Here is a 21,039-nt window from a genome sequence, read left to right as displayed (position 1 = left end):
ACAATTTGTATATAAATGTCGTATTGTAAAAAAAAATTTCTAACACATATTACAGTAACTAATTCTCACTAGGAACAAATCTGAGAATCTGCACCATGCAACTAAAATTTTCTTCCTTTGATAAAGCGGCTGAAAATTGAGAAGCAAGTTTATAATATCAATTTGTTGTGACTCACGCAAATTAATCTATTAAATTAATTTAAATTAAAATTAATTTATTTAAATGTAACTCATGTAGGACATGCTTGTTTTAATGTTACAGTGAGTTTTTTATTTATGAATTACATAGAAGCAGAATTAAGTCATATTACTTCATTGTTTACAATGGAAAAAATAAGTTTTAAGTAGTGTTATTTTTCATTGCTCAAATTCTATTCAATTCTTATACACCAAAGGAGCATCTACATGTCATTTAGCGTTTAGAGGATTAATTTATAAACTCATGGATTCCAGAGTAGCTGATGAAGAAATGACCTAAGAGTCTTTATAAAAAACTTATTTTTCTTATTTGTAAAGTAGCAACCACAAGGTGAAATTGTTTTTTTTTTTTATACAACAGCAACAACGACAACAAAAAACAACTACTAGGGAGAAAAAAGAATGATTCCCCACTAATACAAATTCATTCTCTATTGTACTAAACTCACACATTCAGATTATAGTTTCACCTTCATTTAAAATAAGTTAATTCACTTCTGGCTGTTAGTCTGAATTACTGAAAAGGTTTAAACTTTTTTTTTAATTGTGGACAAGTCCAATTAACCAGTAAAAAATTTCCAACAATGCTTGGAAAATGTTTCACCCATAAAGCAATTTCCTTAAGATGTAAGCAAGTGGCAGAAAAAAGAAAAACAATGAAAGTATGGTGAACACTGTAGCTTCAATTAAAAAAAAAAACAACCAAAGTATGAAGTTTAGCCCATGTTTGATTTCAAGAAATGCTTATAAGCAGAACGCTACTGACCTCTTGTGTATCAAGAATGTAACATAACACAAGTGCCAAAAATGGTATCTCCTAAAACTACTAAAAGACAAGGTTTAAGTAGCTTGTTTTCCCAACCAGGTAGGGAACTATTAGAGCAGAGGACACTTGACTGAGTGCTTTTATATGTTTGTTGTCTCAAAACTTTTTACTGAATCAATAAAGATGATTATTTTGATTTTTTATTGTTGCTGAAAATATATAGCAGAGAATACAACAAATTAAAGTAATAAATTTAGGACTTTTAAAAACTCTCATTTATTTTGGTAAGCCTAAAAAGCAAAAATTTGAGTTTCCATTTTAATGCTGACTATCCAATCTGTCCTGTTTTCAAATGCAAAAGTGCTTAAAAACAGCAAAGGCAAAACAAAATAGGACTTTATTGCCGTAGCCTTACACTACATTGCTTGAAGCAGTCTTTTAATCTGTTAAGTGACCTAAGAACAAAGTCCTAGCACTTTGGGAGGCGGAGGCGGGCGTATCACGAGGTCAGGAGATCAAGACCATCCTGGCTAACACGGTGAAACCCCATTTCCGCTAAAAATACAAAAAAAAAAAAATTAGCCGGGTGTGGTGACGGGCGCCTGTAGTCCCAGCTACTCGGGAGGCTGAGGCAGGAGAATGGCATGAACCCGGGAGGCGGGGCTTGCAGTGAGCCGAGATGGCGCCACTGCACTCCAGCCTGGTCGACCGAGCGAGCGAGACTCCTGCGCTCCAGCCTGGGCGACCAAGCGAGACTCTGTCTCAAAAAAAAAAAAAAAAAAAAAAATTCGTGGTAAATCTCTGTTCACCATCAGATTTCATCCAAGTTTTCTCTGATCGATAAATATTCCACTTGAAAGACCCAATCTGATGGTACAGGTAGGGAAAGATAGAGCTAAATCTATAGCCTTTGGTTTTCTAATTTAGAACACTTTCTCCCCTCCCCACTCCAAGAATAGACCTAAAAAGTAGAAGTATAAAGATGTTCCACTTTTAATGCAGAAATGTAGACAATTAGCTAGTTATTACTGTCAGTTGTACCCTCCCACCACCTCAAAACAAGCTACATTCTTTAAATGTTCTAAGCAACTTCTAGTCATATTTATGCACATCAGCTTACACGCTATATGTGTGAAAAGTGGGATATTCTTTCAGCATCAACTTGTGATTTCATAATTGCTGAAATTCTTTAAAGGAATAAAAAGTTATAGACTGCTTTTGTGACAATAAAATCAAACTTTAATTGGGGAGCCAGATAATATTGCCTTTTCTTTCCAAAATTTTAATTTATACTTTTTAGTAAAAAACATAACACATTTCTCATTCATTTAACCAATTAATCCAAAGGAAAAAAGTGAAGTACTATAATCACAGGTACACTAACAAACACTTTTACAAAGACATTCAGAAATATTTGCAGCAGGTTTTATAAGACTCTGATATAAAACAAAGTAAAATAAAACGTTTTGAAATGGCAAAATCGGTTTACCTAGCCTGAATTGCTTCAAAGAGGCATTTGCACTTCTTGTCCTGGCTTAATAAAACAAAGTAAAATAAAACATTTTGAAATTTCAAAATCAGTTTAGCCTAAATTGCTTCAAAGAGGCATTTGCACTTCTTGTCCTGGCTTAAAAACAAACCCTGAAATTACTTTCTTTTATCCAAATCAATTGACCATATTAATCTGCATAAAGTCTATGAGGATACGTTTTGATAAATGCTATAAACACAAAATTAAGGCAAATCTGATAGTTATTGTCAAATAAATAGCACATTTAGAAGGGCCTTTGTTAATAAAATGCCTCTAATGTATCCAGAGGTATAGATTTCAAAGGGCAAGTCTGTACCTGTTGCACATCTGATTCTCACAGCATTCATGAAAGAGGAGACAATGATATTCCCATTTCACTGAAAACTAAGGTGACTTGTTTAAGGTCATACAGTCCGATCAGTGGCACCAACACATTTACCAATGGCCTTGGAATACAGAGTACAGGGCTTCCTGTTGGTAGATTTACCTTCCTAACCTCACGGAGATGTGATCCAAGTATCAAAACAAGTGTGAGTCCCTTCAGGTCTGGAAAATACTCCAGCCATAACAGGTGAAGAGGAAAGTCAGCTCAAGATTTGTCATATGCTACACAATTTACAGTAAAACACTGGGAAAAGCAGGAAGCTGATGTGAGGAAGGGTGAAGAATGATTTGAAAGATTACAAAATGGCAAAGTTCCTCCAAAACCTATAATAAGCTAAAACAAACTGGAAAAAAAAAAAAAAAGGTCTTAATTGGGAAGCCAATATTCACACCAAAGGAGGGAGTGGGAGGAGAAGATGTAGGAGGAAAGCAGGAAATTATCATCTTAACAGCTCAAAGGATTTGGCACATATCCATGTTATCTAAATAATCTTGAAATTTCTTTGAGGTAGACAAATGTTAGGAATAAGTTGAGTTCATGTAAAACAAAAGAAAGAAAAAGAAAAAAAAAGAGAAGGAAGCTCTACAATCCTTAGTTATTTGTAAAAACCTCTTTTACTAAAGTGCTTAGATGCCAGCCATTTTATTCCTACATTTAAAGGCTGACTGACATTAAATATCTTATAGGTAATGGACAGAAGCCAAGTTGGGCTTTAAAAAAGGCCTAAAAGCCTATCAAAGTTTACAGTACACTTCTAACTTTTTATACCTTCTTTACTTGGAAATTATTGTTTTCTCCTCCTTGTCCCTTGGTAAGCTCCTCCTCAGTTTTCAAGTCTGAGCTCAAATTCACTTCTCCTGCGAAGTATCCATGATTCCCTCAGTCAAATGCAGCACTCCTACTCCAAAAGTCCCACTATGCTCCAAGGTCGCTTTTGCTGTGTTGTGACTGTTTGCCTGCTTGTCTCCCCACTAGACTGCAAGCTACTCAAAAGGCAATCCTGCTTTTTCATTTTTAAGTCGTCAAGACACAGCACTCTGTGGGTACTCAAATTAATCAATAGTTCATCTTATTTACAATCTCTCAAGCAGCTCATTTTATGTTAGTTGCACAATCTGGAGGTCTGGAGTTCTTCACATGAAATTTAATAAATTATCATGCAAGCTCATTTTTATTCCCATTTTTTTTACCCAGGGAGAATCAGTCTACCAGGGCAAATAATGAGGTTACCACCTTAGTCCCTCTTCCCAACCCCATTTTTTAGTTACTTTCCTTTCATTAAAATATCCTTATGCACTTACAAATAAAACTAAGTCCCAAGAGGGCAACAAAATATAAGATTCTTAATGATACAAAAACAAATCTTTCTGATACTAGATCTTTTATACTAGAAAAATAAATTCTTGTGCTTGAACATCATTTTTAAGCACTTAGTGAATTGAGAATCTGAACTGCCACTTGAAATATTCCCAGGAAAGAAACATTATGAACCAAATGAAGGAACATAGCTATTCAAAGGGACATATTTTTGTACTTGTTTTGCTCCAATTTCTGCTACATAGACTGCTCCAGTCTTTCTGTCGACTTCTAGGAGATGTGGCAAAACTTGATCTGCTAGTTGGATTGTGCTGATCACAGAACACTCCCCAATGCTTCCCACTGGGGGTGCTGCTACGACTGAGAGCCTGCTAAGATTCAGCTGGGCCACAATCAAGTACTTCCCATCAGGAGTAAACCTAAGGAGAAAGACATTTAACATAATAAATGTCTGTGAAAAAACATAAGGGTATTTTTTTTCAACATTTTAATCCCCTACTGTGCCAAACAACAGTAGGCACCTACTTGCTGAATGATTCTTTTAAGAAGAATTTTAATTTGATCTAATTCTGTTTATGAAGGAATAAGATGTCCATGATGGTAAGCAAAGCCAAAGATTAGCTTAAATTTGTTAAAAGTATCAATATCATAGTCCACAAAATGAAATTAATGAAGAATTGATGTTAGGCTGGGTTTGATTTTTGTCCTGTTTAAACATTTACCAAATAAAGGCTAGAGGAGAGGTCTAGCATATGTTATTTCTTGTTTTCACTTTACCTGGCATCTGAAAATCTTGGATATCAAATTTCTCTGTATATTTCTATTTTCCCCTAATTCAAAATTAACAATAAATATTTTAAACTTTCAGCTAGCTATTCAGAGGAAGTGAGACACATACACTAACTAAAACAAGCATTTTGCAATAAAATGAAACAATTACCTGACTGAAGAAGGTCCCTCTTCTGTGAAACAATTATTCCATGCTCCTAACCACTCCCCAGTGTCTTTATCAAATACTTGGATTCTTTTATTTCCTCGGTCAGCAACCCACACCTGAGAAACACACAAAAATGTCAATTGAAAAATATCCATGAGAAGAAAAAAGGGAAAAGAATGTTTATTTTCATTAGTTTCACCATACATTATCTCACTTAAGAGGATTCCAAAGAAGGTAGTTAAGTCCCATTTTCAGATGAGGAAAAACTAAAGTTCAGAAAGGTTGCCGTCTCTGAAGTGAGCTTACAAATGGGAGAGGCACAACCCAAAGCTGTCTTAACCCAAAGCTTATAATACTCTGTCTACTGTTCTAAATGTGTGAATAACTAAAAAGCTGGAGTACTCTACCATAATGCAGGGGATCAGTAGATAATGAAAACTGACAACATTCATTCATTCCTCTAACAAGCATTCATTTTTCAATGAGTACTACTGGCTTGTCAGCTCCTGGGCCAGGCAACATGACAAAGAAAAGCAGCCTTACTTCTCAAGAGCTCAATATAGCAGGATGTGAGGTATTCATTCAGATTGCAGTATCATTAAACCCATACCTGCTATTACCAAGGTATGTACAGAGTGCTGAACCAACTGAAGAAGCCTGAGGTATTTTAGCAACAAATAAAGAACAGTAATAGGTTTAATTTAGGTTTGTTATAGGCTGTAATGGGTTATTAAGGAACTTGTTCTAAGACAAGAAGTGAGATGCATTCTAAATGACATTTCATGGCCACATGCATGCAGCTTAAAGCATAAAGGGAAATGGTTTTTTTTATTTTTTGAGATGGAGTCTCGCTCTGTCACCCAGGCTGGAGTGCAGTGGCGCAGTCTCGGCTCACTGCAAGCTCCGCCTCCCGGGTACACGCCATTCTCCTGCCTCAGCCTCTCCGAGTAGCTGAGACTACAGGCGCCCGCCACCACGCCCGGCTAATTTTTTTGTATTTTTAGTAGAGATGGGGTTTCACCATGGTCTCGATCTCCTGACCTCGTGATCTGCCCACCTTGGCCTCCCAAAGTGCTGGGATTACAAGCGTGAGCCACCGCACCCGGCAGGAAATGGTTTTTGATGACTTGTGGCCAGGGTTGTAGAGAGGTATGAAAGAATGGACTGGGAGTGGGTCAGTCCTCTTTACTTCTACCTCCCTGCTTTTGGTCCTTTGGATTTCTTGGGTTTGTGGATTGAGAGATAATTTCTTCACAGGTAACCCTGATTACAGCTTCATCAATATGTGTGAATTTTGGTAGCCATTGAATTAATCTCCAATCAGAAACAAATCAAAACTCACTACACCATTTAAGAAAGGTTGTTGATGCCAAAGTAAAGCAATTTCTCAAGGTCTTTTCCTGATCTATGGTCCTTTAGTAAGGATAGGTTTTCTTAAAGAGTTTGAGACTAGTATCCCAGACAAATGACCAAGGAAGAAGTATAGTTTACACCCTAGGATGGAATGATACTTTAGATTGTTAGCATCATCTGTCCTGCTCAACACTCAATGAATTTTGATTATGGGAACTCCTGTTTAACACATAACAACAAGTCTGGAACTGACTAACCTTTCATATAGGGTTGTGGTGATGATTAAATGAATTAATTATGTAAAATGCTCAGAACAGAATTGCTATTGTTATAAAACACAATTTTGTATAATTGACACTCTTTATCACTCAGGAATGCCAGAGTACCCCCATCAGATGATTTCCAAGGCCTTTTAGAAGGGCGTTCCTCACCATGATGAATTTACCTGGGTCGAGGTCTCGCATGTTCTGAAATTTGATTTTTTTTCTTAGCACACAATGAGTCACCCAAGCTCAGGAGGATAATGTGCAAAAGTTTAATTCAAAGTTTCCAGTTCCCAATTTATATACAAAGTTCACATGGTTGATTAACGTCTTATGGCAGATCAGAAGATTTAATGATCAAAACATTCTCATTTTTGTCAATCAATTATGATTAGGAAGCCAAGTCATAATTAGAAGTTTGTTTGCTGAGCACTGAATCAGAAGTAGAAATGGATTAAATGCCTAATGGTATGAAGGCAAGTAGCCTAATGTACCCATTGTGTGTCAAGACATTTAGTCATTTAATAAATAAATATGACTACTGTGTACTAGGCACAAAGAAATAAAGCAAAAGAGATTCAGTAAGCACTTTCAACAGCCTGACATCTATTAGGGGAGACAGACAAATGATTATAATATAGCATGATAGTTACTATGATACGAAGTACAGGCTGCTATAGGAAAAGAGCAGGAGAAACTAATATACAAATTTTTTGGTGGCGGTTTCGTTGTGAAAAGGTAACCTCAAAGAAGTGAGATCTATGCTTAGAAATTGAGTAAATGCAAAAGAGATAGTAGTGAGTAGGGTAGAAAAGAGAGAAACTGATTGAAATTTGTTGGCTAAAGCTTTCTGTTCCCTAAACAATGTGGAGTTAGTGAGAACAAGAGTTTGCCTAGGTGACTCTTTTTCAGACTTCCAAGGTTAACCTCTCCCACTCCACTTTAGATCAGCACATTTTTTTCTTGAGAAGTGAAAAGATATTCAAACACTTTTAGTGGAGTTTTCCCAGTAAGAGGGCAACTTTTTCTTTCAGGTAACTTTATGTTCAGATCCATTATTTGTGCCTTCTATCCTTTTAAATGGTACAGGAAATCCATTTTGCTCCTTTCTAAATGTTTGGGGAACCCCCTCACTATAGGACTCAAACACTTGTAAGAAAGTATGTGTGCACACCCAGCCCCAGAGTAATTACCCAGACATACCCACTAACACACATGTATCCACATGCCCAGACACACATGTATACCACAATCTATATATACATGCCCAGACACACACACACACACACACACACACACACACACACACAAACATATTCAGACACAAAGTCCCAGACACAATGACGCTGTATTTGTACCCGACCAGCTGAATCAAGTGTAACACTGTGAGGTATGTTGAACTTAGCAGGCCCTGTCCCATTTTCTCCATGCAGCCAAAGGATCATGAAATCTATAAACGGTAAAAATATATAGTCAGAGCAACATATAGAATGTCTCATGCATTTGCATATTTTATGAAACAGGTTACAAAGAACTATTTAATTACACCGCTGGTTCACTTGACTATGCTTTCTCGGCTTTCCTGTCTATATGCCCATTTGCCCATTTCTTACAGTTTTTTTTTTAAAGTTCCTTCTCTGCTTTAGGGAATTAATCTACTTCTTTAATTATTATCTCCACTTGAATTTTTCATGACTGCTTCAAAATCATTGTTTAGGGTTTATGCCATCCTCTCCCTAAAACTGGTTCCCCTTCCCAACTTATCTGTTACTTGATATTAGTATTCCACAGACCTTAAAAATTCACATTATGATTTTACCGTCTATCTCCTTTATTACGCACTACGGTGGGTTCAACTGTGGTCCTTTAAAAAGATGTCCAAGTCCTAACTCCTGATACCTGGGAATGTGATGCTATTTGGAAATAGTTTTTGCAGATAAAATTAAATTAGGGATCTCATGAGATCATCCTGGATTTAGGGTGGGCCCTAAATCCTTATTAAGAGAAAGAAGGGAAAGACTGGAGGCACAAAAACACACAGAGAAGAAGGGGCCGCCATGTGAATATGGAGACAGACATCAGAGTTTTGCTGCCACAAGCCAAGGAATGCTTGAGCCACCAGAAACTAGAAGCGGCAAGGCAGGACCTTTAGAGTGAGCACAGTCTACCAGATTTCTAACTTCTGGATTCCAAAACTGTGAGAATAAATTTATGTTGTTTAAAGCCACGCAGTTTGTGGCAATTTGTTATGGCAACCACAGGAAACTAATACACTTATATTCAATCTGTCTCCTAGATTTCGTTGTTTCTTTCATTCAATTTTTTGGATTCTTGCTTTATCCTTATTCTACATTTCCCTTTCAACTGTTATCAACCAAATTCAGTTACTAATTGATAAATTGACTACACAGCCTCCAAATGACAGAGCTCACTTGAAGTAGATCCTAAAAGAATGTCTTATAAAACCTGCTGTTGTAACATCACTTTTCTACTAGGAAAACCTCAAAAATGTTATAGGCAAAAACATGGCTTTAATAATCCTCAAATAAGACTTCAGAAACATCCCAAATTGTATTTTCTGCTGCTGAAAAAGTGCATCTTCACCTTCTTTCCTGCTAATAAATGCCTGTAGACCATGCATGATAAACCCTCCATGAATGTTCCATCCATCCTCCCCTCTCCTCCCACCAAAACTAGTTTAGTTCAATAACTACTTCCTTCATGATATCTTGTTCTATTTCTCCAGGCAATTTAGTTTCTCCTCCTAAGTCCATTTTGCTTTAAGAATCAATAGCATAGACTACATTTCATTGTTTCAATACATAATAGATCTGCACCTCCTGATACTAGAGAGGACACAGAAAGGGCACTCAATAAAATGCTTGCTGATTAATCAGCCTGTAGGATACTTGAGTCTGGGATTCTAGGTTTCTAATTTCTACATGCTTAATTAAATAGGATACACACTTATCTCCTGAGCCCACTAGAAATTCTCATACTGTTGCCAGTTACTTTTGGAGGAATCTCCTGGCCTTTGGTGAAGAATAAGTGGGCCTGTTATCAGGATCATTTATTGTGGGCAATCATACCCATCTGTTTTTCAGTTTTCTCGTAGTAATACACTTAGCTCTTTACACACCGCTTCATACACAACACTTAAAACATTATACCAAATATCGAACAAATTAAAATCAATTTATAATATTTTTATAATACCATAAACAAGTAATGTACCTTGGGACAGTTTGATCAATCTGTTATTCAATCCTCCATCTCCATCCACAATGTAAATATCTCCTGTGTCCTCTACATATAATTCTGCTGGGTTATCAAACTGCAAAGGATTCAAACTAGTGCCTTTTTTGCCTGGAGTACCCAAGACTTGAACAAGATCACCAAAAGAACTGTATTTTTTAACAGTATGACCAAAGAATCCTATAAAGATAGATATGTACATCTCACAAATAAAACCACTATACAAACATTCAGATTTTTCAAGTAAGCTAAGAGCAAAAATTTGATAGAAGTAAATAATAACAAATAGGTGATAGGCTTAGGAAATTACATATAATTGACAAGCACTATAGCTTCTTCGTAAATTACAGCCAAATTTGATCACGAATTAAAATCTCCATTAGTCCAAAATAAGCGGATTCTAAATTCAAATAAATAACATCCCCATAATTGACTCATTATACAGGAAACTCAGAATGCTAACAAAGTATTGGTGCACCATTTTCTTTTTTAATCTTATGACCTTGAATAAGCATTGCTTATGAAAGGAAATCAAGAAGAAAATGTAAAGGGAACAACTTATATTTGAAACTGTTATTTCAATCACTCACATACAGACCTTAAATTTCAGTAAGTCAACAAAAACGTTCTCTATGGTACAGATTTTTTTTTTAACTGCATTTTCACCTTGTGGAGACATTCAAAATTCAACCCAACTTTTCTTTGCTAAGAAGAAAATAATCTTTGTAAATCATGAGTATCTTATTTTCTCACGTTAAAATTTCTTTAAGTTAAAATTATCTTACAAGCAAGAGCATAAAGCAGACTACTAATAAGGGAATATCATAAAGCAGTGAACAGAAATCAATTTGAAGGTACATATGCCAAATTAATTGATAGGTATTCAAAAGACAAACTGGATACATTGAGCTTACCAGAAAGAAAGTGAATCAGCTTGCATTACAATTCTATGTTAAATAATTTATTTACTATTACACTTTTAGACAGTTGAGCTAAAGTTCATAGCAATAAAAAACACATAAGCCTCCAAGTTTCTAAAAACTAGCAAAAAAGACTACCAATAAAAAATTTTCTCAAAAAAAAAAGGCTAATTTGTAGCCATATTTTTCATTAGAGGAAATTTATTCCTTTGGGAAATGGGAATATAAAACTGTCTTCAGATCTCTGGGTAGAAAATTAGCTGTAATGGAAAAAATGAAGAGATCGTCTGTGCTCTTTTTATTTCTGGGAATCAAGGAAGTCTTATTTTTAAAAATCACATGAATAAAATGAACTCAAAGAAATGGTCTTTAACAGTGGATCTTCAGGAAAAAAGTGAAAATAGACTCTCATTATAGTATTAACAATTCACTCAGTGATAATCTATAGACTTTTTTTGGTTGAACCAGATTCATACTATGTAAAACACAGCATGAAATAAATGGGCCATCAGCTGAGGCCCAGAAATCTTATGGGTTCTGAGAACAGCTGTGATAATGGCACTACTTACAGAAACTGAGAACTCATTATCTCTAAAAAATGGTATCTGAATCAGCCAGGACTGTAGAACCAGGATGTCTCTCAATTCAAGAACATAACTGGGCCAAGGAATACTAGAAATAATGTCTTTATAATCCCATTTCTTCCTGAATTCCTAGGGTAATGCCAGGATATCTCAGGTATTGCCTTGTCTTAAGCTACAGCCACAGGTGAATTGTTTCTCTGAAAACTTTCTCCATAGCTGCACATTCAGTTGTGCTCACTTCATTTTTCAGCTTTTTCTACTAAAAATATTTGATGGCAGGAAGATTTCAGACATGCTTCAGTCAGTAGAATTTCAAAAACATTAACAACAGTTTCTGCAATCTTTGCACTTTGAGCAACAAAGCAGTTACGATTTCACAATCTTTTATGAAAGAAAACTGGAAAAGGAAAATAAGAGTCAAGGATTCCAGTCATTGCTTTCAGAGACTGCCACTTTATTTGGCTTCAGTTTAGAGTTATTTAATCTGAGAAGAGCAACTGATGCTTTAAAGAGGAAAAGACCCTAGACAAGTTCAAGGAAAGATCATATTAACAGGCTCCTTGTCAAATTTCTTTCTTTTTTTTTTTTTTTTTGAGACAGAGTGTCGCTGTGTCACCCAGGCTGGAGTGCAGTGGCGCGATCTCGGCTCACTGCAAGCTCCGCCTCCCGGGTTCACGCCATTCTCCTGCCTCAGCCTCCCCAGTAGCTGCGACTAAAGGCGCCCGCCACCACGCCTGGCTGATTTTTTTTTTTTTTTTTTGTATTTTTAGTGGAGACGGGGGTTTCACCGTGTTGGCCAGGATCGTCTCGATCTCCTGACCTCGTGATCCGCCCGCCTCGGCCTCCCAAAGTGCTGGGATTACAGGCGTGAGCCACGGCGTCCAGCCCTTGTTAAATTTCTTAATTCCACAGAAGTACAAAATAAAGTTTGTTAAAAACATGTGATTTCATGAATCGTTAAAGAAATTACAATTAGATTCAGCAACTCTGATTTTAAACAATACAAACAAGGACATGTGCAAAGATGTGATTTCCAGTAAGATAATTTAATAGATATTACTATACATACCACTTCCTACATCCGTGATCCAGACGGATTGTTCATATAGAGTACTGGCTGCAAATATACCATGAGGTGTGTCAACTGTATAATTCCAGGCTCGTAGGAAATATCCATCCTCTGTGAACACTAATATCTTTGGGATGTTATCCCCTCTCTGAAGGTATACAAAAAATAACTTCTTAGGATCAGCTTAAAGGAAAGGTAATCTGTATCTTGGCGAAGAAAAAAAATAACTGAGAATTTTACTACAAAAACCACTTTCAAAATCTAACATATCTTTCACATTCGAAACCAAAATACTTGAGACCAACTCAAAAATAAATTGCACAATTAGCATGATATAAACGCATATGGTCAGTTACTACAGCAAGACAGGAAGGCTGTTACTTCCTTTGTGTTCATAATTTTTTTAAATCTCTATTTACTTACTTGACCTATGTAAACCAATCCATTGAGGGAGTCAACTGCAACACAAAATGTTGTTCCGGTAAAATATTCTGGGTGCTTAGGCCAACCCACATCCAGCCGGTAAAGAATTTTCTCAGTTCTCCAGGAAACTGCAAAAGTAAAGTTCCTCAAAACCTTAAACAAAATCAGACAATTCAGATTTAGTTTACCGTCTAGGTAAGAACAAAAAAAGGGCGGGGGGGCCGGGTAACAGGGCTTATTTTTAAGCATGCCTTGACAACTAGAAGTTTGCTGGACTGAAATAATTCCAAAGAAATGAGCTTAGATGCCTAAAGACCAACACGACCACAATACAAGTCTGCAAATTATTTGAGGATGTAGTAAGAGTTGGGAAAGAGGAAAATGGCGATGTAACATACACAAATTTTTAAACTCAAAGGGTCAAGGCAGTTTGGACCCAGGTGCAGGCTTTGAGACAAGCTACTGAGGGAACCAGGGCCTGCCACCTCCATGCCACGACCGTGGCGACGCCTCCCAACAGGGCTACCCGCACACCCGACAGTCATTTCCTCACTACCCAACTCACTGGAGAGCCACAAAAACGCGAATGCAAAACCAAAAATGCAAGAAAGAAGCCAGCACCGGCTACGCAGACCCAGAATCTCGCCATGACCAGACGGGAAGCCAGGAGAGGGAGGGTCCGCAGGTGTCTGGGGGAGGACCTGACAGCCTCAGGCTGCAACGGTTTGCAGCGGCACAGAGGGTCTGCCCGGGGCCCGAAGACCCTATCTCCGGTTTCCCCTCCCTGGATGCACGAGCTTTGAGTACGAAAGGGAACAGAGACCAGGGCGAATGAAAATCACAGAAGACCAGTTCCGGACTTCGTGTGCATTTCGGGGTCCCCGCCCTCATGTCAGGTGCTTCGGGCTGACCCAGTGACCACCCTTTCCCGCCCTCAGGGCAGTCCGCGCCGCTGACTTTCAGTGGCCACCAAAGTATGGGCGCCCGTAGATATGCCTTAATCGCTCGCCATTTATTCTTTTTAATCCAGAGGGCAAAATCAAAACATCGCACACTCAGACACGAGGTATGGTGGGGATGACATTCAAAATAATGACCGCTAGGCTTCGGGAAGGATTTTTGCCACATCCTATTCCTACCATCCAGGCATCCGCTATGGATGCCTATATTCCCACACCAGGACCCCACCTCTGGCTTTCAGGAAAGAGGGGCCCAAGCTGGCGGCGCAGTGTTGAGTTTACTTGGGCGCGACTGGCTTTATTGTAGGTCCCCATGAGCTGGTGGGGGCTGTAGGGGTAACCAGGCAGGGCGTCTGGCGCTGTTGGGGCTGCGTTTTTCCGGAGTCCCCCTATGCGAGGCCGTGCCCCTCTTCGCCCGGCTCCTGGTGCTCCCCAGCCGCCGGCCCGCTCCCGGAAGCTGCAGCAGCTGGTAACAAAGAGCCTGCCGGGCCGCCTGCTGCCGGGGCCGAGGTATCCAGGAGTCGGGCGGAGCGGCTGGGGATGAGCGCGAGCCGGACCATGCGTCCGGGTTCGCGGCGGTGAGGGTCGCGGCCGGCGGCCGAGGCGCAGGTGCGGGTCGAGAGACCGGCGCCTCCCTCCCCGCCGCCCGTGGACTCTGAGCGCAGGTGTTTCTACTCTGCCGGCCGCTCCACCTGGGAAAGCGCCTTCAAGAGCTACCTCTGGCGGCACCTGGCCCTCAGCTGCAGGGAAACCGCACTCAAACCTGCCGCCGAGCCCGGGTTTTTCTGCAAAACTCAGAGGACCTGGCTCTTGCCCGAGGTGCCCTGAACCATTGTGTGAATAAGCTGGGGAAGCCTGACTGGAGTGTTTTTTCTTTTTAATAAAAAGAGTTTTTCTGAATCTCAATTTTTAGAAATTTTTTTTGCGAAGTTTGCAATACTCTCTACCTCTTCGCATCCTCTCTTGCTCGTGGAGTCTTTTTCCTCCTCAGCTATAAATATTTTTTACTATCGGCGGAGCAGACCAGGGATGAACGTCTTTTAATTGCAAGTATAACTGTTAAAACCACGTCGGGATAGTAGTCAAGATGGATAAAAAGTCCTTTGAAATGGTGCTGGATGAAATTAGAAAGGTAATTAGACCGATTCCATGAATTATTTTATGAGATGAATTCTCGTGTTTTAGACTCTCTTTGAGGTACTGTATGGAGATTGTGCAGAATAAGGGTCCTAGGATTGCCAAATTGGTTTGAATTTTCACGTGTAATGGAGGAGTTTATATCTTGATACGTTTCCAGTACAAATAGAAATTAAGTTACGTTAACGCCAAATTTGAGACTCAGCACGGTGTCGTGGGAATTACATTTGTAAAGCCCTCGGTTCCAAAGCCGGCTTTACAAATCCGTAATAGCTCTGTACTTTTTGGGTAAGGGGTTTAATATTTTTGAGTTTATTGCCTCATCTTTCAGTAACACAAGAGTGACTGAAAACGAGAGGTAATACGCAGAAAGTTTCTTTTATGGTAGTTATTATGATGGGGTTTTCAAATCTAAGCATAAGGTAGAGTATATTTGTTGCGTTGGCCATGCAAAATTCGTGTCCTGATGGTAAGTGTGGCATTAAGTTTAAAGTCACGTTCTTAGGAATTGGCCGTCAATAACTTGAGCTTCAAAACTTTTTTCTCCTGCTTTCCAAGTTTTTGCTGCTTTTTGAGGCTGTTGTGTGGATCGCATTTCCCAGAGTGAACCAGACAGCAACAATTCTGGAAGGTAGTCTTGAGCCTAACAATATCTCAAGCACAAAAATACCGAGAAGTTACTTATTTTAAAATGTAAGGACTTGATGTACCATTGTTACATCAACACACGGTGCTTTCCTTCGGCCTTCCGGGCAATTATTCTTTCGTCAGCTGCATACCTTTACGACCCTTGACTGAAACGGAAGAAATTGTTGCCATGTGCTCTGGTGCTTATTTCAGTTTACAAAGCTATTATTAAAATTGTCTCTGGTCTTGCTGTTTTGCTTTGTTTTTATACAGCTTTTTTCTTTTTTCAAATTGACGTGTTTAAGTTTTCATATTTGATAATACTGAACATTCTTTTTTGAACAAGTTCTGCTTTTGCAAACCTAAGTGTCCAATTAATTTTTGAAATAAAATATTGGTTTGCTAATTATATGCCTAGAAATTTGTCACAATTTGTTCTTGGGCTGATTTTTAATTACTTTTCATGAGAAAATAATTGGTGAGTCCAAGTAGACCAGCAGATTTTTACTTTTGGAAGATACAGGGTCTCAGTGTGCATATTCTCTTCCTGGTGTCATAAAAACGTCACAGTAAATTCTAAAGAGGGGAATAGGAAATTTTCCAGATATGAAAGTGTTGTTCACATGAGATGGCAACTTAAGTCTGTATTTCTGGTCAGCAGTTAAAATATATCTTCTGCTGGCTTTGCCGAGTGATTAGACACATCAACATTGTCATGGTCTATTAAAATGGAATAAAATATTGGCATATCTAAATATGAGCATTACTACTGATTTTCTTAAAAATCGTTCTTTGTAAATGTAAGTCAGTTTAAACCAGGTCATCTCTTGAGTATCACAGTGAGTTTATATGATAGATAATACTGATTGTCACTACTGTCATTTAAAACAGAGGCATATAAGAAGCCACTAGCAGAAGAACTGGGAAAGGGAGTAGAAAGGGGGAAAAAGCAATGGTTAACTGATTATTCAAAAAGGAGGGAATGATAGCTATTAATTAGTGAGCACTTACTTTGTGAGCCTGTTTTTAAGCACTTTCTCCAGTCATTATTTGTTTTGATTCTCCTTACAACGCATGAGGTGTAGGCACTGTACTTCTTGCTTATAGCTGGTGGCCTATTCTCTGTGAGGTTAACTATCAGCTCAAGACTCCCTAGGTGGTAAGTTGGGGGCTGGGGGCAGTATTCAAACTATGCTTGCAGAGCACCATGCTGTCCTGCCTGGGGTTACAGCTGGGCCTCTCAGGCATTGATGGAAGAATTGAGATATGACTTGGCATCAGTACAATCCAAGACTTTGTTCAGAAACTTGTATTTGACTGTGTCCGATTATTACATTGATAATAAAACTCCTAGGAATACATTATTTAGAATGCCATTTTCTCCCTTTTCAGTGAATATTGAACTACTGAGCACCCAGGATATTTCAGTTGACTGGTCATAATACTTTCTCCTAGCAGAATGATATATGTGAAAAATATGAATATTAAAATTATTTTATAGTACAAGCAAAGGGATTAGTTCATTTTTAATGATTAGTGGCTACTGACTTAAGATAGCTGTTTCCATCTCTAAGCTGAGCAAATAGCTGCAAGGGGAGCATGTGTGATTTAGTGGGCTCTAGATAGTGCTGCATCAAAGCCACCAACTTCTCTCTCACCCACTGATAGATTCCGAAAAGGAAAGGAACCATCACTTACTGAATACCTGTTATATGTCACATCTAATGTCCACTATTATAGTCTTCATAGTAATTCTTTGAGGTTGGTGAATGGTGTTCCCTCTATGAATGAGGACGCTCAAAAGGAATTAAAATGCCTCTCAAAGTCTACACTGCCAGTTAGTGGCAGGCACAGACATTGAATTCAGGACTTCTTGCATTCTTATGTCCCTATAGAAATACTGAGAGCCTCAACTAGACCTTGTCTTATTCTTGCTTCTCTGTCACTTAGCACATAGTAGATATTCAATAATTGATGAATGAGTAACATCTGATATGTTTAATCTTAAAAATGACAATTTGGATTTGGAATGTTTTGAAACTCTTTAATTACATATTTAGGAATTCTAAATGTTGTGTATACTGATGTTGAATCATATCTATTACAATTTTATTCCCTTTCTTTGTAGAAGTTGGTAGGGAAGCCCAGCAGATCTTCCTGCTTGCTCAGTGTGTCCCTCACAGTATGGAACCTGGAAAGATGGAAGGAAGGGCCTCTCACCACAGTGACCTTAGTTCCTCTGAATGACAGGGCTGAAGTAGACCTGCCACTGTTGAGTTGCTTGGGCAGTTTTGATAGATGTATATTACTGTGCTGCTTACGTATATTAATGCTGTTTTACTCTGTGTGTGTGTGTTTTTTTTTTTTAGGCTGTTTTGACAGAATACAAATTAAAAGCAATTGAATATGTGCATGGATACTTTTCTAGTGAACAGGTATTCCTCATTATTTGTTTAAACAAAGCTTTCTTTTTATACCAATGTTCTGGTTAATGTCTGTCTGCTGGCCGAATTCAGAATTGGTTTTACCTTTTTGCTGTATTTATTCAAGAACTCGAGAAGCTCTCAGTTTTGGCAGAAAACTCTACAGAATTTATAATTCAGGGACTAAGCACCTCTCCACTTTCACCCCAATTCATGTTTTAAAATGATTTTAAATATAGGGTCTTAAAGCAATTCAAAGTGTTTATGGTTCTGGGCACAATATCAAAGATTTAGAGACTCGTAATGGCAAATTTACCCAAATTTTTATAGTTACATGTAAGACAATTACAAAATTCGTCATGTAATATAAAAGAAAATGTGAACAAATAATGAAATATGTTTTTATATGAAGCCACTAAATAAAAATTTCAACAGTAAGAAAAATACACAGTGTTATTTAATAAGTAGTTTCTGTAACTGCCAGAATACTAACATTTTAAGCATGATAGTTTAGTGAAAACTTCATTCCACCTTAGGGGCAGTTTGCTAATTAAAATATATGTGTGTCACACACACAAGGGGGCATGTTTCTGAGGGATAGTTGGAAAATTCTTGATAGAGAAGTCAGGCATAAATATTAATAGAAATGTCTGGAGAACAGCTTGGGGAAAGGATGGACAATAAATGTATATATTGAGTTAGTAAATGCTCCAATTGAGTTAGTAAATGGTCCAGCTTTTCATTGGTTTCTCAAGAACTTCAAAACTTGAAACCTTAAATGACTTTTAAGCCTATAGAAGTTCTGCCCACTAAATTCTTAAAAGCTACTTTATGATTTGCATTTGTTGTCTTTATGTCAGTTTTTCAGCTTTCCCATTGCTTTACAAAGTTACTTTATGCTCTTTTAAAAATTTAAATGTTTTGGCTGGGTGCAGTGGCTCACACCTGTAGTCCCAGCACTTTGGGAGGCCAAGGCAGGCGGATCACTTGAGGTCAGGAGTTCAAGACCAGACTGGCCAACATGGCAAAACCCCATCTCTACAAAAATACAAAAATGAGCCGGGCATGATGGCGGGTGCCTGTAATCCCAGCTGTTCAGGAGGCTGAGGCTGGAGAATTGCTTGAACCCAGGAGGCAGAGCTTGCAGTGAGCCAAGATCGCGCCATTGCGCTCCAGCCTGGCTAACAGAGCAAAACTCTGTCTCAAAAAAAAAAAAAAAATTAAATGTTTTAAAAAGATATATAATTTCTTACAGCTAATAGCATTTTTTTTCTTGGGTGTATGTGATGTACCACCCTTAATGATGCTTCCACTTTGCTAAAGTCATTACAAAGTTTATTAAGCCACTTTCTAAATGAGCTTATTGTATTAAAGATTTTTCTTTGTATCTTAGATATGGTGGCTTGTAAAATTTTATGGTTGGTTAAAATATAGCATTTATTAGATATTAAGAACATTATTCCCATCAAAGTTAAGGACATAGACGTTTATCAAATTAACTGGAAAGTATACATAATACTTATTTGCTATATATATATATCTCTTTATAAGGAGTAAAAATTATTTTTACTCTCTTTACATACCACTCCAGTTTGCACCATTGACCTTGCTGTATAGAATAATTGGAACCTTAGCGTATTTTCAGGAACTGTCTTCTTGTATCACTTTTTTCCCCTTTTGGAGCATCTTTGGAGGCAGTCAAACAGGGTGGTGGTGATCATGCTGAGACTTCAGTGTCCTGATCTTTATGCCCTGTGCTCCCCTCTTACTGGCTATCTCATAATGCTTCCCTCATTTGTTTGAAGTTCTTAGGTGGTGGTGGGAGCTAATCTGAGCTGCACACTCTGAGCTCTCAAATGATGTATCATTTAGGGGCTGCTGGAGTAATTCATGTTGACTCTTAACATTTTTAAGGGACTAGATTTATGATTTGAGTTTATGCCCTCCAGATTCAAGTTAAAGGACCTACTAGGACTAAAGTTAGTGGACCTACACTAAAACATACCACTGTGCCTTTGTGAGTGCTGTTCTCCCCTCGTGTTGAAAGGTTTTCCATTCACAGTCCATCTTTATAATCCTGAGCTGACATTTGATCTCCATCTAGTACTTCTCAACCATCCTTTTCCTATTAGGATACTTTGTTTTTTTCTGTATTGTATATTTTTCTTTCTTTCTAGACCAGTGCTGTCTAGTAGAACTTTTTGTGGTGGTAGAAATGTTCTCTATCTGCAGTGTGCATTATTGTAGTTATCAGCCTCACATAGCTCTGGAGCACTTGAAATGTAGCTTGTGTCACTAAGGAACTGATTTTTACATTTTATTTGACTTTAAGTTATTTAAATGTATATAACTATATAATAGCTATTCTGTTAGCACAGTTTTTAAACTTTAATGCCACCTGTATCACCTGGGCCTGGGCTGCACGTGTCGAATTATAATTTCAAGTACTGAAATCTTATAGAAATGTTTGCAAACATGCTGTCATTAGAGCTGTTAGTTCTTTGTTTTCAGGTGGTTGATTTGCTGAGATATTTTTCCTGGGCCGAGCCCCAGTTGAAGGCAATGAAAGCATTACAGCATGTAAGTAACTTATTTTTTCCTTCAGAACGTAGAATTTAAGTATTTTTAATTCTCCCAGTTGTGTGTAATTTATTTCAGTTGTAATTTATTTGCATTAGAAAAGCGAACTCTATGTGTTATTGTACTTTGATTCAAAATAGCTATGTTAAAAAATTAAAATTTTCTAAACTGTACATTTAAATTGTATGCTACAGTGTCCCGATTGGCAAGTTAGAAGAAAACTTCACCAGCAAGCAAAATATAGGATTTGAATTCTTAATGGTTTTTTGCACTTCTGTTTTTTAATATCCATCGTCACCATCTTTCTATTTA

General features: G+C 37.9%; 2 protein-coding genes across 7 annotated transcripts in view, besides 2 other annotated features; one reads left to right on the top strand and one right to left on the bottom strand.

Moving 5' to 3' along the window:
• Positions 1-2,180: 2,180 nt before the first annotated feature.
• Positions 2,181-13,979, bottom strand: NHLRC3 (NHL repeat containing 3). 3 transcript variants are annotated; one of them, NR_073109.1, is made up of 7 exons: positions 13,825-13,979; positions 13,002-13,154; positions 12,579-12,726; positions 9,985-10,185; positions 8,109-8,200; positions 5,138-5,250; positions 2,181-4,616 (listed from the first exon to the last, which is right to left on the bottom strand). NR_073109.1 is itself a non-coding variant. In NM_001012754.4 (7 exons), the coding sequence occupies exons 1-7, from the start codon at positions 13,648-13,650 to the stop codon at positions 4,364-4,366; spliced, it is 1,044 nt and encodes a 347-aa protein (NP_001012772.1). In that variant the 5' UTR covers positions 13,651-13,834; the 3' UTR covers positions 2,181-4,363. The 3 variants fall into 3 exon arrangements, 2 of the variants coding, with proteins under 2 accessions (NP_001012772.1, NP_001017370.1); NM_001012754.4 differs by having other exon boundaries at positions 13,567-13,834; NM_001017370.3 differs by lacking the exon at positions 9,985-10,185 and having other exon boundaries at positions 13,567-13,834.
• Positions 13,980-14,200: 221 nt separating this feature from the next.
• The window catches only part of PROSER1 (proline and serine rich 1), a 28,225-nt gene continuing 21,386 nt past the window's right edge, over positions 14,201-21,039 (top strand). For 2 of the 4 annotated variants that reach the window (XM_011535239.4, NM_025138.5), the window contains exons 1-3: positions 14,201-15,092; positions 18,094-18,159; positions 20,659-20,727. In XM_011535239.4, the coding sequence (XP_011533541.1) occupies positions 15,048-15,092; positions 18,094-18,159; positions 20,659-20,727 (180 nt within the window). In that variant the 5' untranslated portion in view covers positions 14,201-15,047. The remainder of the gene's footprint in view (positions 15,093-18,093; positions 18,160-20,658; positions 20,728-21,039) is intronic. The other 2 variants (XM_047430652.1, NM_170719.4) reach the window with 1 other exon arrangement.
• Positions 14,491-14,720: a silencer, noted in NCBI's record as "silent region_5275". NCBI's record gives its function as "represses an Ori minimal core promoter by ATAC-STARR-seq in GM12878 lymphoblastoid cells {active_cell/tissue: GM12878}" and the evidence as "EXISTENCE:reporter gene assay evidence [ECO:0000049][PMID:35858748]".
• Positions 15,863-15,972: an enhancer, noted in NCBI's record as "active region_7597". NCBI's record gives its function as "activates an Ori minimal core promoter by ATAC-STARR-seq in GM12878 lymphoblastoid cells {active_cell/tissue: GM12878}" and the evidence as "EXISTENCE:reporter gene assay evidence [ECO:0000049][PMID:35858748]".

The sequence above is a fragment of the Homo sapiens genome, chromosome 13 (assembly GCF_000001405.40).
Source record: "Homo sapiens chromosome 13, GRCh38.p14 Primary Assembly".
In the NCBI taxonomy this organism is placed as follows: domain Eukaryota; kingdom Metazoa; phylum Chordata; class Mammalia; order Primates; family Hominidae; genus Homo; species Homo sapiens.
This window is presented reverse-complemented; position numbering and strand designations above follow the sequence as displayed.

Coding starts and splice junctions, on each gene's coding strand:
- NHLRC3 (NM_001012754.4), bottom strand. CDS start 13,650: ATGGCGAGATTCTGGGTCTGCGTAGCCGGTGCTGGCTTCTTTCTTGCA. Junction 5,251..8,108: donor CACTTGATTCAGCTGGTCGG/GTACAAATACAG, acceptor TGTGTTTCTCAG/GTGTGGGTTGCTGACCGAGG. Junction 4,617..5,137: donor GAGGGACCTTCTTCAGTCAG/GTAATTGTTTCA, acceptor CTTTCTCCTTAG/GTTTACTCCTGATGGGAAGT.